The sequence below is a fragment of the Homo sapiens genome, chromosome 17 (genome assembly GCF_000001405.40).
Source record: "Homo sapiens chromosome 17, GRCh38.p14 Primary Assembly".
NCBI lineage: Eukaryota > Metazoa > Chordata > Mammalia > Primates > Hominidae > Homo > Homo sapiens.
The window spans coordinates 42,100,466-42,113,104 of record NC_000017.11 but is presented as its reverse complement, the minus strand read 5'-3'; the positions used below and the strand labels follow the sequence as shown (position 1 = coordinate 42,113,104).

General features: G+C 55.0%; 1 protein-coding gene across 5 annotated transcripts, besides 10 other annotated features; it reads left to right on the top strand.

Annotated features, from left to right (window-relative positions):
• Nucleotides 24-543: an enhancer, noted in NCBI's record as "active region_12185". NCBI's record gives its function as "activates an Ori minimal core promoter by ATAC-STARR-seq in GM12878 lymphoblastoid cells {active_cell/tissue: GM12878}" and the evidence as "EXISTENCE:reporter gene assay evidence [ECO:0000049][PMID:35858748]".
• DHX58 (DExH-box helicase 58) lies at nucleotides 391-11,694 on the top strand. 5 transcript variants are annotated; one of them, NM_024119.3, is made up of 14 exons: nucleotides 391-500; nucleotides 900-992; nucleotides 1,212-1,380; nucleotides 1,608-1,809; nucleotides 2,192-2,382; nucleotides 3,719-3,835; nucleotides 4,997-5,123; nucleotides 5,310-5,501; nucleotides 7,116-7,369; nucleotides 7,938-8,087; nucleotides 8,178-8,339; nucleotides 9,307-9,497; nucleotides 10,793-10,889; nucleotides 11,159-11,694. In NM_024119.3, exons 3-14 carry the CDS (start codon nucleotides 1,213-1,215, stop codon nucleotides 11,342-11,344), a joined length of 2,037 nt encoding a protein of 678 aa, NP_077024.2. In that variant the 5' UTR covers nucleotides 391-500; nucleotides 900-992; nucleotide 1,212; the 3' UTR covers nucleotides 11,345-11,694. The 5 variants fall into 5 exon arrangements, with proteins under 5 accessions (NP_077024.2, XP_047292680.1, XP_047292681.1 ...); XM_047436724.1 differs by having other exon boundaries at nucleotides 391-502; XM_047436725.1 differs by having other exon boundaries at nucleotides 391-809.
• Nucleotides 784-883: an enhancer, noted in NCBI's record as "active region_12184". NCBI's record gives its function as "activates an Ori minimal core promoter by ATAC-STARR-seq in GM12878 lymphoblastoid cells {active_cell/tissue: GM12878}" and the evidence as "EXISTENCE:reporter gene assay evidence [ECO:0000049][PMID:35858748]".
• Nucleotides 4,681-5,193: an enhancer, noted in NCBI's record as "H3K27ac-H3K4me1 hESC enhancer chr17:40259930-40260442 (GRCh37/hg19 assembly coordinates)". NCBI's record gives its function as "activates a minimal SCP1, AML or CMV promoter by ChIP-STARR-seq in primed H9 embryonic stem cells {active_cell/tissue: H9 hESC(primed)}" and the evidence as "EXISTENCE:reporter gene assay evidence [ECO:0000049][PMID:30033119]".
• Nucleotides 4,681-5,254: a biological region, named in NCBI's record as "H3K27ac-H3K4me1 hESC enhancer GRCh37_chr17:40259930-40260442".
• Nucleotides 5,035-5,250: a silencer, noted in NCBI's record as "fragment chr17:40259873-40260088 (GRCh37/hg19 assembly coordinates)". NCBI's record gives its function as "represses an EF-1alpha promoter that drives an FKBP-Casp9 reporter gene in an ReSE screen in K562 erythroleukemia cells {active_cell/tissue: K562}" and the evidence as "EXISTENCE:reporter gene assay evidence [ECO:0000049][PMID:32094911]".
• Nucleotides 5,095-5,194: a silencer, noted in NCBI's record as "silent region_8515". NCBI's record gives its function as "represses an Ori minimal core promoter by ATAC-STARR-seq in GM12878 lymphoblastoid cells {active_cell/tissue: GM12878}" and the evidence as "EXISTENCE:reporter gene assay evidence [ECO:0000049][PMID:35858748]".
• Nucleotides 5,205-5,254: a silencer, noted in NCBI's record as "silent region_8514". NCBI's record gives its function as "represses an Ori minimal core promoter by ATAC-STARR-seq in GM12878 lymphoblastoid cells {active_cell/tissue: GM12878}" and the evidence as "EXISTENCE:reporter gene assay evidence [ECO:0000049][PMID:35858748]".
• Nucleotides 5,355-5,414: an enhancer, noted in NCBI's record as "active region_12183". NCBI's record gives its function as "activates an Ori minimal core promoter by ATAC-STARR-seq in GM12878 lymphoblastoid cells {active_cell/tissue: GM12878}" and the evidence as "EXISTENCE:reporter gene assay evidence [ECO:0000049][PMID:35858748]".
• Nucleotides 6,837-7,768: an enhancer, noted in NCBI's record as "H3K4me1 hESC enhancer chr17:40257355-40258286 (GRCh37/hg19 assembly coordinates)". NCBI's record gives its function as "activates a minimal SCP1, AML or CMV promoter by ChIP-STARR-seq in primed H9 embryonic stem cells {active_cell/tissue: H9 hESC(primed)}" and the evidence as "EXISTENCE:reporter gene assay evidence [ECO:0000049][PMID:30033119]".
• Nucleotides 7,769-8,702: an enhancer, noted in NCBI's record as "H3K4me1 hESC enhancer chr17:40256421-40257354 (GRCh37/hg19 assembly coordinates)". NCBI's record gives its function as "activates a minimal SCP1, AML or CMV promoter by ChIP-STARR-seq in primed H9 embryonic stem cells {active_cell/tissue: H9 hESC(primed)}" and the evidence as "EXISTENCE:reporter gene assay evidence [ECO:0000049][PMID:30033119]".
• Nucleotides 11,695-12,639: the final 945 nt, after the last annotated feature.

The window sequence follows — 12,639 nt, the reverse complement described above, 5'->3', positions numbered from 1 at the left end:
TTTCTTTGGTGTAGTCCCAGCCTTAGCAGGCTCACCTTGGCCCCCAGGGACCTCTTGCAAACTGGAGGCTGCTCTCCCCAGCAAGCCTCAGGCCTGGTCCTGTGCTCCTGGGGTGATGGGTCCTACCTGCCTGCAGCCCCCCACCTCTCCCTCCTCCAGGCTGCTCCTGATCCAGATGCCAGGGCAGCAGGGGTCAGAACCTCCTGCCTTCACCTTAACCTGGGTGGATGTGGTTACAACTGACTGCAGAAGGGCCAGAGCGTAGAGGATCCTGTAGCACTGAAAGAGTGCTTCCCTGTTAGCACACGTGGTTCTTTTTCTTGGGGCAGGGATAGGAGATTCGTAAGTCGGCTCAGCTGGCTCCTCCCCTCAGTTTCAGTTTCCATTTCTGATTTCTGCTCTCTGCGCTGAGCACAGCGGCACCAGGCTGAGCTAAGCAGGGCCGCCTTGGGCAGGCCTACGTGGTGGTGCAGGCGAGACCCAGGCTGGGCAAGGCGCAGGTGTAGCCTGTGTTACTCCCACCCCCCCCCACCCCCACCTTTTGGCCACAGCAGGCTTCTGATGAGTTTTGAGGGTGTCCCCCCCCCCACCTCCCTCAAGTGGGGTGGAGTCCTGGGCAAAGGGAGGTCTCTGTACCGACTGCTCTGGCCAGGAGTTGGGATGAGTGGAGGGCCCAGTGGGTCTGAGTCCCCTGCCATTCCCAGAATGGAGCTGTGGCCCTACCAATGGGAGGTGATCATGCCTGCCAGGGCGCTGGCGCAGCAGCAGTACTTAACCGGAGTTTGTACTCACGGCAGTTGGCGATGACTGTTAGCACAAACGGTTCTTTTCTCTTGGTTCTTTTTCCTGGGGCGGGGATGGGAGATTCCTAAGTCGGCTCAGCTGGCTCCTTCCCTCAGTTTCAGTTTCCATCTTGGGTCTCTGAGCTGAGCAGAGTGGCACCAGGCTGAGTTAAGTGGGACTGCCCTGGGCAGACCTACCTACTAGAGCAGGTGAGTCCTGGGCTGGGCAGGGGGCAGGTGTAGCCTGTGTTACTCCCGCCTCCCCCTTTTGGGCAGAGCAGGGTCCTGATGGGTTCTGAGGGAGTCCTGCCCCACCTCCCTCAAGTGGGGTGGAGTCCTGGGCAAAGGGAGGTCTCTGTACTGACTGGTCTGGCCAGGAGTTGGGAGGGGTGGAGGAGTCGGTGGGTCTGAGTCCCCTGCCATTCCCAGAATGGAGCTTCGGTCCTACCAATGGGAGGTGATCATGCCTGCCCTGGAGGGCAAGAATATCATCATCTGGCTGCCCACGGGTGCCGGGAAGACCCGGGCGGCTGCTTATGTGGCCAAGCGGCACCTAGAGACTGTGGATGGAGCCAAGGTGGTTGTATTGGTCAACAGGGTGAGTGGTCTGTCCCTACCCCGCTCTCCCACCACCAAGCAGGGTCTTAGCTCTTCAGGCATCTCCCAGTCCCCACCAGAACTCCAAAGCTGCTGTGGCCATCGCTAAGCTCACCTGTCTTTCCACCCTGGCTCAGTACCCAGCCATGTCCTGCGGGTCACCTTACCGCCTCCCTACCCCTGGCCCCAGATTCAGCTCTCTTTTCCCAGCTCATTCTCCACCCCCAGGTGCACCTGGTGACCCAGCATGGTGAAGAGTTCAGGCGCATGCTGGATGGACGCTGGACCGTGACAACCCTGAGTGGGGACATGGGACCACGTGCTGGCTTTGGCCACCTGGCCCGGTGCCATGACCTGCTCATCTGCACAGCAGAGCTTCTGCAGATGGCACTGACCAGCCCCGAGGAGGAGGAGCACGTGGAGCTCACTGGTGAGGGCCATGGCCGGGAGGAAAAAGATACGCATCTGGGGTACCTCCTTTCGCCAACCCCAGGGCACCTCCTGGAGTCAAGGTGTTGGGAGTTTTAGTGGGAGTGAGGGGTTGCCTGTTCACAAAACCCCTGCAGGCACTCTAGTAGAAACAGGCCGGGCTATCGTGTAGGATCTTAGGCCAGTCCCTTCCCCAGCTGAGCCTCGGTTTACTAATCTGTGAAATGGAAAGAAGTCTTCCCTGCCTGGCTCCTCATCCTGGGACCAGCTGCAGGTTGTGAAGGGAAGAAGGAATTCTTACATCATTGTGGGGACTACTTGAAAGCTGATGGGAGGAAGGGCTTTGCAAACATAGGTCACAGCCTTCCCCCCTGTGCCCTCAGTCTTCTCCCTGATCGTGGTGGATGAGTGCCACCACACGCACAAGGACACCGTCTACAACGTCATCATGAGCCAGTACCTAGAACTTAAACTCCAGAGGGCACAGCCGCTACCCCAGGTGCTGGGTCTCACAGCCTCCCCAGGCACTGGCGGGGCCTCCAAACTCGATGGGGCCATCAACCACGTCCTGCAGGTCAGCCTGGCCCCTGTGGGCCTCCCACTGCCAGACCCACCAGGGACTTCCCTCCCTCCCTGCCTGCCCTGCCACTACCCCGTCCCCACCAGCCCTACCAGGCTCTCCATGGCAGGGTCTGGCCCCTTCCTCACCTAAGACCCAGCCTCCAATGGTTTCTTATGGTACAAAGAATTAACTCCCGACTCTACTGTGGTTTACAAAGTTCCACGTGATCTACCTCTCCACCTCATTTCCTGCGCCCTCCCTGTTGTAGCTCATCCTACAGTTACACTGGCCTGCCTTCTGCATGTTGAACATGTAGGGCTTGTTCCATCTCGGGGACCTTTGCATTTACCATTTCTTTTGCCTAGAATGCGCTTCCCTTTGAACTTTTCCTGCTGCCTCCTCCTTGTCATTCATTGAACAGCTTAATGCCACCTCTTGAAAGTCCTCCCTGATCTCTGCTCTCTGTCATATCATCCAGTGCTATCCTCTTCAGAGCTTGTTAATGCGCTCTGCAAGGTTTTATTGTTTTCTTTTTTTTTTTTTTTTTTGAGATGGAGTCTCACTCTGTCGCCCAGGCTGGAGGGCAGTGGCATGATTTCGGCTCCCTGCAACCTCCGCCTCCCAGGTTCAAGCGATTCTCCTGCCTCAGCCTCCCGAGTAGCTGGGATTACAGGCACCCACCACTATGCCCAGCTAATTTTTTGTATTTTTAGTAGAGACGGGGTTTCACCGTGTTGGCCATGCTGGTCTCGAACTCCTGACCTCGTGATTCACCTGCCTTGGCCTCCCATAGTGCTGGGATTACAGGCGTGAGCCACTGTGCCCAGCCTCTTTTTTTTTTTTTGAGACGGAGTCTCTGTTACCCAGGCTGGAGTGCAGTGGCACGATCTTGGCTCACTGCAACCTCCACCTCCCGGGTTCAAGTGATTCTTCTGTCTCAGCCTCCCGAGTAGCTGAGACTACAGGCGCGTGCCACCATGCCTGGCTAATTTTTGTATTTTTAGTAGAGGTGGGGTTTCACCACGTTGGCCAGGCTGTCTCAAACTCCTGACCTCAGGTGACCCGCCCGCCTTGGCCTCCCAAAGTGCTGGGATTACAGGTGTGAGCCACCATGCCTGGCCGGTTCTATTATTCTTTTACTGGTTTATTATCTGCCTCTCCAACTCCAATCTGAGTTCCTTTGTATCCCCAGTGCCTAGAACAAGACGGGCACAGAGAGGGCGAGCAATATTTGAGTAGACGAATGCCCACATTCTCCTGTCCTCAGCTGGGATCCATCCTGCCCCAAATCTTTGACCATTGTCCCCACAGACCCTCCCTTTCCAGTAAAGTCCTCTGTTGCCCCCAGCTCTGTGCCAACTTGGACACGTGGTGCATCATGTCACCCCAGAACTGCTGCCCCCAGCTGCAGGAGCACAGCCAACAGCCTTGCAAACAGTACAACCTCTGCCACAGGCGCAGCCAGGTACGCGGGGGCAGGGACACGGCGAGAGCGGGAGCCGGTGTGAAGTTAGGACACCTAGGCTTGGGCCCTGACTCTGCCCTCACTAGCTCTGTGACTTCAGGTCACTTGCTATGTATCCAAGCCTCAATTTCTCCTTTCTGTGAAATGGGGCAGATACAGCCCATGCCCACAGCCCGCTCTTTGGATTGACTCAGAAGGCACCACTGGTGTCTGTCACATCACTGTCATGCTGGGGAGTGCACTACAAACCAGAGAGCAGGGATACTTTGTGCTGAGGCTCTACTGAGCCCTCTCTAGTGTGGACACGGCCTCGTGTCTGCCATGACTGGACTGGACAAGGACTAGGTGTCAGGTCCATAACTATACCAAATGTTACACTTGGGGTCAGGTTTGAGCCCATGCTGTGGTCTGGAGGGAGGGAGTGAGTGAGCAGATAGCTGAAAGAACCCTTGGGGGGCCATAGGCAGGTGAAATGTAGTTTTATTCAGCAGCGGCTCTCTCACACTGTCCACCTTTATCTGGGCTGTCTGCTCCGGCCCTGTGGCTCCTGCTGCCCCCACGCCTGCAGCTGCTCTCCCTGGCCGGCAAGGCCAGCTCTGTCAGGGTCAGCAGCTTAACTCTTTCCCTCTGGGCACAAGCGGGTTCCTGGCTCCCCACTGCCCACCTTCAAGGCGACCGGCTGTCCCTTGCAGGGGTTAGTAGCATTATTCTCTCTCTGGGCGAGCAAGCGTGCCCTGCCGTGCCGAGCTGAACCAAGCTCCGTGAACAGCGTCAGCAGGGCAGTTTTACCTTCTACTGACAGTAGAGTCCAGTATGAACTTACACAAACAGGTTATATAGCAAGTGGAGTACGTGCCTGCCCCCCAAACTCGCTGAGTCACTCTGGCCCGGATGTCCGCCTCGGCCTATTCCTTGACCAAAGCACGTCCATGTGCCTTACACTAGGCATCACCGTGCCCAGGCCAAAGGGTAAGAGCACATCGCGGGTGAGACAGGGCAGGACTCCCCCACACCCTAGCCGGCCTCCCTCTGGAGCTCACACCACAGCTAAGACAGATGGGTGAGGCAGTCGCGGTGTGCTACACGCCGGGGTCAGCACCCCCACTGGGTGCCCATCCTCCAACGTGTATGGGAATCCCCTCCAACTCTCCTCTTGCTCAGGATCCGTTTGGGGACTTGCTGAAGAAGCTCATGGACCAAATCCATGACCACCTGGAGATGCCTGAGTTGAGCCGGAAATTTGGGACGCAAATGTATGAGCAGCAGGTGGTGAAGCTGAGTGAGGCTGGTGAGAGGGGCAGCCCTTCTGGCGGAGGCGAGGATGTGGGAGTGGTCAGGGGCGGGGCCTGCCGGGGCGGAGGCCTTTGGGGCGGGGCCTATCCACCCCAGGGGTGGAGTCGAGTGGGACGGCCCTATGGGGCAGGGCAGGGGGCGGGGCTGTGGGCTGCTCAGACCCTGCGCCCTCTTCCCGCAGCGGCTTTGGCTGGGCTTCAGGAGCAACGGGTGTATGCGCTTCACCTGAGGCGCTACAATGACGCGCTGCTCATCCATGACACCGTCCGCGCCGTGGATGCCTTGGCTGCGCTGCAGGATTTCTATCACAGGGAGCACGTCACTAAAACCCAGATCCTGTGTGCCGAGCGCCGGCTGCTGGCCCTGTTCGATGGTGAGGGGCGGGAGGGGGCTTCGGGGCCGGGGATGATGGGACCTGGATGCGAGGTCAGAGGCCAGGGCACAGGCGCCAAGGTCGGATGGGAAGGTGCCCGTGAGGATACTGGTGGAGATCCTATTTTTCTAACCAAAATCCAAGGCCATGGGTAGGACTGATTTATTTCCTCATTTGTGAAGGTTTTTGCTTAGTTGTTAAAATTAATTAACATTGTTGACTTTTTTTTTTTTTTTAATAGTCGGGGTCTTGCTCTGTCACCCAGGCTGGAGGACAGTTGTGCAATCATAGCTCACTGCAACCTCGACCTAATGGGCTCAAGTAATTCTCACCCTTCAGCTTCCCAAGTAGCTAGGCGTACAGGTGGGCACCACCACTCCCAGCTAATTAAAAAAAATTTTTTTTGAAGAGGCGGAGTCTTGCTTTGTTGCCCAGGCTGATCTCTAACTCCTGGGCTCAAGTGATCCTCCTGCCTCTGCCTCCCAAAGTGCTGGGATTACAGGTGTGAGCCACTGTGCCCGGCCCAGATTTTTTAAAAGGATTAGCTAGGAGTGGTTCCTTTAGACTGAGAGAGTGAAGCTGAAAGTCAGAGGGTGAAATTTAAGGTTGCAAATCGCAGCACAGGCTGGGGCTCAAGAGATCTGGGTAGCAGAGGTCAGAGTTAAAAGCTCAAGGGTCATCCTGGTCACTGGGGAGAAGAGGGTTCTGGTCTGAGGTTCTGTACTGTATGACCCCGGTGTGAGGCTGGCCTTGAGAGTGGGCTCGGTAGGAGGCATCCTTTTTTGTTTTTGTTTTTGTTTTTTTGAGAGGGAGTCTCGCTCTGTCGCCCAGGCTGGAGTGCAATGGCACCATCCCAGCTCACTACAACCTCCCCCTCCTGGGTTCAAGTGATTCTCCTGCCTCAGCCTCCCGAGTAGCTGGGACTACAAGTGTGCATCACCACGCCCAGCTAATTTTTTTGTATTTTTAGTAGAGACGGGGTTTCACCATATTTGTCAGGCTGGTCTCGAACTCCTGACCTCAGGTGATCCGCTCACCTCACCCTCCCAAAGTGCTGGGATTACAGGCGTGAGCCAATGCACCCGGCCAGGGCATCCTTAAATATGTTCTTGGTGCTGCTGTGGGGGAGTTGAGCAGGAGTTCCATCCTTCCCCCACCCCCCACCCCCCACCTTCTGCACGCCTACAGTCCTATTGCTGTGAGAACCTCCTCCGCCAGTGCCCTCCCCACTCCAAGATCTGAATCCTCTGCCTCTGGGGCTTTTCTTCTTTCTCTTTCTTTCTTTCCCTCCCTCCCTCCCTTCCTTCCCTCCTTCCCTTCTTTCCTTCTCTCTTTCTCTCTCTCTTTCTTTTCCTTTTTTTCTTTCTTTCCCTCCCTCCCTTTCTTTCCTTCTCTCTTTCTCTCTCTCTCTTTCTCTTGCTTTCTTGCTTTCTTTTTTTTTTTCCCAGACAGAGTCTCACTCTGTTACACAGCCTGGAGTGCAGTGGTGCAATCATAGCTCTCTTCAGCCTTGACCTCCTAGGCTTAAGCGATCCTTCTGCCCTCAGCCTCCCAAGTATCTGGGACTACAGACATGTGCCACTACACCCAGCTAAATTTTGGGGTTTTTGACAGACCGCAAGAATGAGCTGGCCCACTTGGCAACTCATGGCCCAGAGAATCCAAAACTGGAGATGCTGGAAAAGATCCTGCAAAGGCAGTTCAGTAGCTCTAACAGCCCTCGGGGTATCATCTTCACCCGCACCCGCCAAAGCGCACACTCCCTCCTGCTCTGGCTCCAGCAGCAGCAGGGCCTGCAGACTGTGGACATCCGGGCCCAGCTACTGATTGGGGCTGGGAACAGCAGCCAGAGCACCCACATGACCCAGGTGTGGGCTTCGGGGAAAGATGCTGGCGCTGGGAGGGATTCCATAGGAGAGAAGTGCGGGGAACAGGGTCTTCAGCACAGAGAGGTGGGGGCAGGGAGACCCTGGGGAAAGAGAAAGTTGACTATCCCCAGGCAGAGGGGCAAGGAGCTAGGGGAGAGGGGCGGACACTGACCTCCCCAGTGCTGGAGCCTCTCCCAGTCTGGAGGTCCTTGGGGGCAGAAGGTTGGGCATGGGGGTCCGTAGGGAAAGAGGTGGGTGATGCAGTTCCTCAGGGCACAGGATCAGGTCTGGGGTCCCTTGCAGAAGACTATGGCTTGAGAGTTTTTCCTAGACTAGAGGGGCAGGGACCCTTAGGAGTCCCTAGGGAAGATAGGGGTTGGACAGTTACCTGGGAAGATGGGCAAGATCCTGGGGGTACCTGGGGATAAAGATGGGATTCAAGTACTCTAGGGAGATGGACCAAGATTGGGAGTGAGGGCTGAACCAGAAGAGGCTACTCTGGCAGGTGGAGTCAGTCTGAGCCTCCTCATGTACCAGCCTCTTTCTCCTCCCTGCCCTCCGCCTGCAGAGGGACCAGCAAGAAGTGATCCAGAAGTTCCAAGATGGAACCCTGAACCTTCTGGTGGCCACGAGTGTGGCGGAGGAGGGGCTGGACATCCCACATTGCAATGTGGTGGTGCGTTATGGGCTCTTGACCAATGAAATCTCCATGGTCCAGGTACTCACATCCTCCTCCACTCAGCCGCCCTTATAGGATCCTGTGTGGGGCCCCAGCCCAACTCAGGACACCCCTTGTCTCTCTTCCCAGGCCAGGGGCCGTGCCCGGGCCGATCAGAGTGTATACGCGTTTGTAGCAACTGAAGGTAGCCGGGAGCTGAAGCGGGAGCTGATCAACGAGGCGCTGGAGACGCTGATGGAGCAGGCAGTGGCTGCTGTGCAGAAAATGGACCAGGCCGAGTACCAGGCCAAGGTCTGCAGGCAGCCTGCATGCCCTGTGGGAGGGATGGGGAGGAGGGAGCCCCTCCCTGGCAGGTTTCTGACTGCACACATACGTCCCCCTGTCCCCTCTACATCTCGGGGCTAACTTTGGCCACCTAGGGAAGGTTTAAATAAGGGCCGGGGTGGGGCTGCCAGGGAAGGCAGTACCTGGACTCCAGAAGGCCTTGGGAACAGGCCTTGTCCAAGGCTCTTTATTTATCTTTGCCATGAGATACTTTATGTATCTGGAAGAGCTGCATTACAGCCTTTCTGGAACCAGGCAGAGGGGACAAGATAAGTCCACGTGCAGAAGATAAGCCCAGAACTAGGACTTATATCATCAGTTCCCCTGAGGCAGGGCCACCACCATCCTGCCTTGTCCAGGGTGCTCCCTGTTGTCCCAGCATAATTGTTAATGATGCCCCATGACAGATTCACAGAAGCAGCTTTGCCTAAAGTCCTTCAAGATTGAGCAGGAAAGCTTACCCCTCCCACTGTTGCCCCCGACTACTCATACTGTTTTTCTCCATAGCTGTTTTTTTTTTTTTCCCCGAGACGGAGTCTCACTCTGTCACCCAGGCTGGAGTGCATGGCACAATCTCCACCTCCTGGGCTCAAGCAATTCTCTTGCCTCAGCCTCCCGAGTAGCTGGGATTACAGGCATGCGCCACCATGCCCGGCTAATTTTGTATTTTCAGTAGAGATGGGGTTTCACCATGTTGCCCAGGCTGGTCTCGAACTCCTGACCTCGTGATCCACCCGCCTTGGCCTCCCAAAATGCTGGGATTACAGGCATGAGTTACTGCATCATCACAGCAATAGAGCTTCTTTTAAGCTCCAGGGAGGGTTAAGGAAAGTCTCTTCCAGGTACAAATGATCTTAGTTCTTTGGGAACCTTTTGTCCCCCAAGGAACGTTCTCTTAGGCCCCAGCCATGCCTGGTGTCTCCTCCCACCCCAGATCCGGGATCTGCAGCAGGCAGCCTTGACCAAGCGGGCGGCCCAGGCAGCCCAGCGGGAGAACCAGCGGCAGCAGTTCCCAGTGGAGCACGTGCAGCTACTCTGCATCAACTGCATGGTGGCTGTGGGCCATGGCAGCGACCTGCGGAAGGTGGAGGGCACCCACCATGTCAATGTGAACCCCAACTTCTCGTGAGACCTGTGGAAGGGGCTACTGGGATGGGGGCCTGGGAATCCTTCCCATCCAGACAGTGCTTTGAAGCTTTGGGAAGCTAAAGAGCATTGTAGCAAGTACTTTGCATTTTCACAATAATCTGGTTAGACAGGTTTTATCCCTGTCTCCATTTTACAGGCAAGGAAATAGAGGCTCAGAGAGGCTATGTGACTTGCCCAAGTTCCCACAGCCACTATCTGGTTGAGCAAGAACTGGAATTCAGGATACTAAGTGTCAAAAGACCACACATTGACCCTCTGGTCCTACCTATTCCGAAGATATCAAGAGAGCTTGGCCATCCCTGGGCCATCCTCCATCCACTATCTCCTAGAGAGTAACCTTCCCCCATCCTCCATCCATTCATTATGTTACCCTCTGTGTTCCGGGCCACTGTGCCAAGGATCTTCACACAGATTTTCTCAATTGAGGAGGTTGCATTTCAGCTAGGTCTCAATGGGTCTGGTTTGAATGTGAGCGAATGAGAAGGTAACCATGGAGGGCCAGGTGCAGTGGCTCACGCCTGTAATTCCAACACTTTGGGAGGCGGAGGTGGGTAGATCACTTGAGGTTAGGAGTTCAAGACCAGTCTGGCCAACATATTGAAACCCCTTCTCTACTAAAAAAAAATACAAAAATTAGCTGGGCGTGGTGGCCCATGCTTGTAATCCCAGCTACTTGGGTGGCTGAGGCATGAGAATCACTTGAACCCGGGAGGCAAGCCAAGATCGCACCACTGCACTCCAGCCTGGGCAATAGAGTGAGACTCTGCCTTTAAAAAAAAAAAAGCGACACCAGTTGACCTGAGTGGAAGGGACTGTGAATAATGAGATTTAGAAAAAGACAGACTAGCCCGTGGAAGATTTGAAAGGTCAGGTGTGAAAGTGTAGCCTTTATCCAGGAGGTTCCTCTTAGGAATCTTGGATAGATTTTAAGGAACAGAATGTCAGGGCAGATTTATATTTTTAGATCCCTCTAGCAGTTGGTGGAAGGATGGCTTGGGATTGGGAGTAAAAATGGAGGCAGAGAGACCCATAAGGAGACTGTGAAGACCAGGTAACCGATGCTGAGGCTTGAACCTGGGCACAAGGGAACGTGCGATGGAGGCCACACAGGTAGAACTCACCAAAGATTGGATTTCCTGGCCTGGGAAGTCTGTGCCTCTTAACCAGCAGGAAGGCCCAAGGTCCAGGCAGAGACTTGGCCGGCAGGAGGGCATGAGATCCGGGGCTGAGGAGGGTCAATGAGGGCTGTGGCCACCCCCCTTCCTCTCCAGGAACTACTATAATGTCTCCAGGGATCCTGTGGTCATCAACAAAGTCTTCAAGGACTGGAAGCCTGGGGGTGTCATCAGCTGCAGGAACTGTGGGGAGGTAAGAGCTTAGGCCACGTCCCAGGCCCCAGAGTCCTCAGCCCCAGTCTTCAGAGGCCCTCAGGGAGCCCTCACTAGGACACGGGAGACAGTCCCACCCCATGGCCTCCAGTCTGAAGAGGGAGGTCCAGCCCCTCCCTAAGGGAGCCCACAGTCTGTGACATCTCAGGTGGGAGGAAAAGGCCCTGTATTCAGGGAATTCCAACTTGAGGAGAGAAGCCCAGTCTGAGGCCAGAGACCCAGACCCTACCCTCTCTGTCTCACCTCCAGGTCTGGGGTCTGCAGATGATCTACAAGTCAGTGAAGCTGCCAGTGCTCAAAGTCCGCAGCATGCTGCTGGAGACCCCTCAGGGGCGGATCCAGGCCAAAAAGTGGTCCCGCGTGCCCTTCTCCGTGCCTGACTTTGACTTCCTGCAGCATTGTGCCGAGAACTTGTCGGACCTCTCCCTGGACTGACCACCTCATTGCTGCAGTGCCCGGTTTGGGCTGTAGGGGGCGGGAGAGTCTGCAGCAGACTCCAGGCCCCTCCTTCCTGAATCATCAGCTGTGGGCATCAGGCCCACCAGCCACACAGGAGTCCTGGGCACCCTGGCTTAGGCTCCCGCAATGGGAAAACAACCGGAGGGCCAGAGCTTAGTCCAGACCTACCTTGTACGCACATAGACATTTTCATATGCACTGGATGGAGTTAGGGAAACTGAGGCAAAAGAATTTGCCATACTGTACTCAGAATCACGACATTCCTTCCCTACCAAGGCCACTTCTATTTTTTGAGGCTCCTCATAAAAATAAATGAAAAAATGGGATAGAAAATGTGTGGTGTCTTAATTTTGTTGGAATATAATTGGTAGAAAATAAACTGCTTGTATAGTGTGCAATTGGGTACTTTTTTAAAATTGTTTTATTTTTTGACATGGAGTTTCACTCTTGTTGCCCAGGCTGGAGTACAGTCACACGATCTTGGCTCACTGCAACCTCCACCTCCTGAGTTCAAGCGATTCTCCTGCCTCAGCCTCCCAAGTAGCTGGGATTACAGGTGCCCGCCACCATGCCCAGCTAATTTCTTGTATTTTTAGTAGAGATGGGATTTCACCATGTTGGCCAGGTAGTTCTCAAACTCCTGACCTCAGGCGATCTGCCTGCCTCAGCCTCCCAAAGTGCTGAGATTACAAGCGTGAGCCACCATCCCTGGCCTGGATACATTTTAACATGCATATCCTCCACGATCAAGATAATGAACATAGCCATCACCCTCAAAATGTCCTGTTTCTTCCAGTGGAATTTTCAAAGAACAACAAAAGTTTCCTGGTTCCCCATTGAAATCCATACCTCTCACCCTTCCCCATCCAATGACCTGCTTTGTAATTTTTAGTGTTAAAAGTGTTTGGCTTTTTTGAGACAGTCTCACTCTGTCGCCCAGGCTGGAGTGCAGTGGCGCGATCTCAGCTCACTGCAACCTCTGCCTTCAGGGCTCAAGTGATCCTCCTGCCTCAGCCTCCCAAGTAGCTGGGATTACAGGTGCCTGCCACCATGCCTGGCTAATTTTTGTATTTTTGGTAGAGACAGGGTTTCGCCATGTTGCCCAACAGGCTGGTCTCAAACACCTGAGCTCAGGTGATCCACCCACCTCGGCCTCTTAAAGTACTGGGATTACATGCATGAGCCACTGGGCCCGGCCTTTTTTTTTTTGTTTTTGTTCTTATTTTGTTTTTGAGACAGGGACTCGCTCTGTCGCCCAAGCTAGAGTACCG

Bases quoted from the DNA above. Each gene is read 5' to 3' on its own strand.
- DHX58 (NM_024119.3), top strand. From the start codon at position 1,213: ATGGAGCTTCGGTCCTACCAATGGGAGGTGATCATGCCTGCCCTGGAG. The intron at 5,502-7,115 runs GTGAGGGGCGGG...GGTTTTTGACAG, and splicing joins GCTGCTGGCCCTGTTCGATG to ACCGCAAGAATGAGCTGGCC. The intron at 9,498-10,792 runs GTGAGACCTGTG...CTTCCTCTCCAG, and splicing joins AATGTGAACCCCAACTTCTC to GAACTACTATAATGTCTCCA.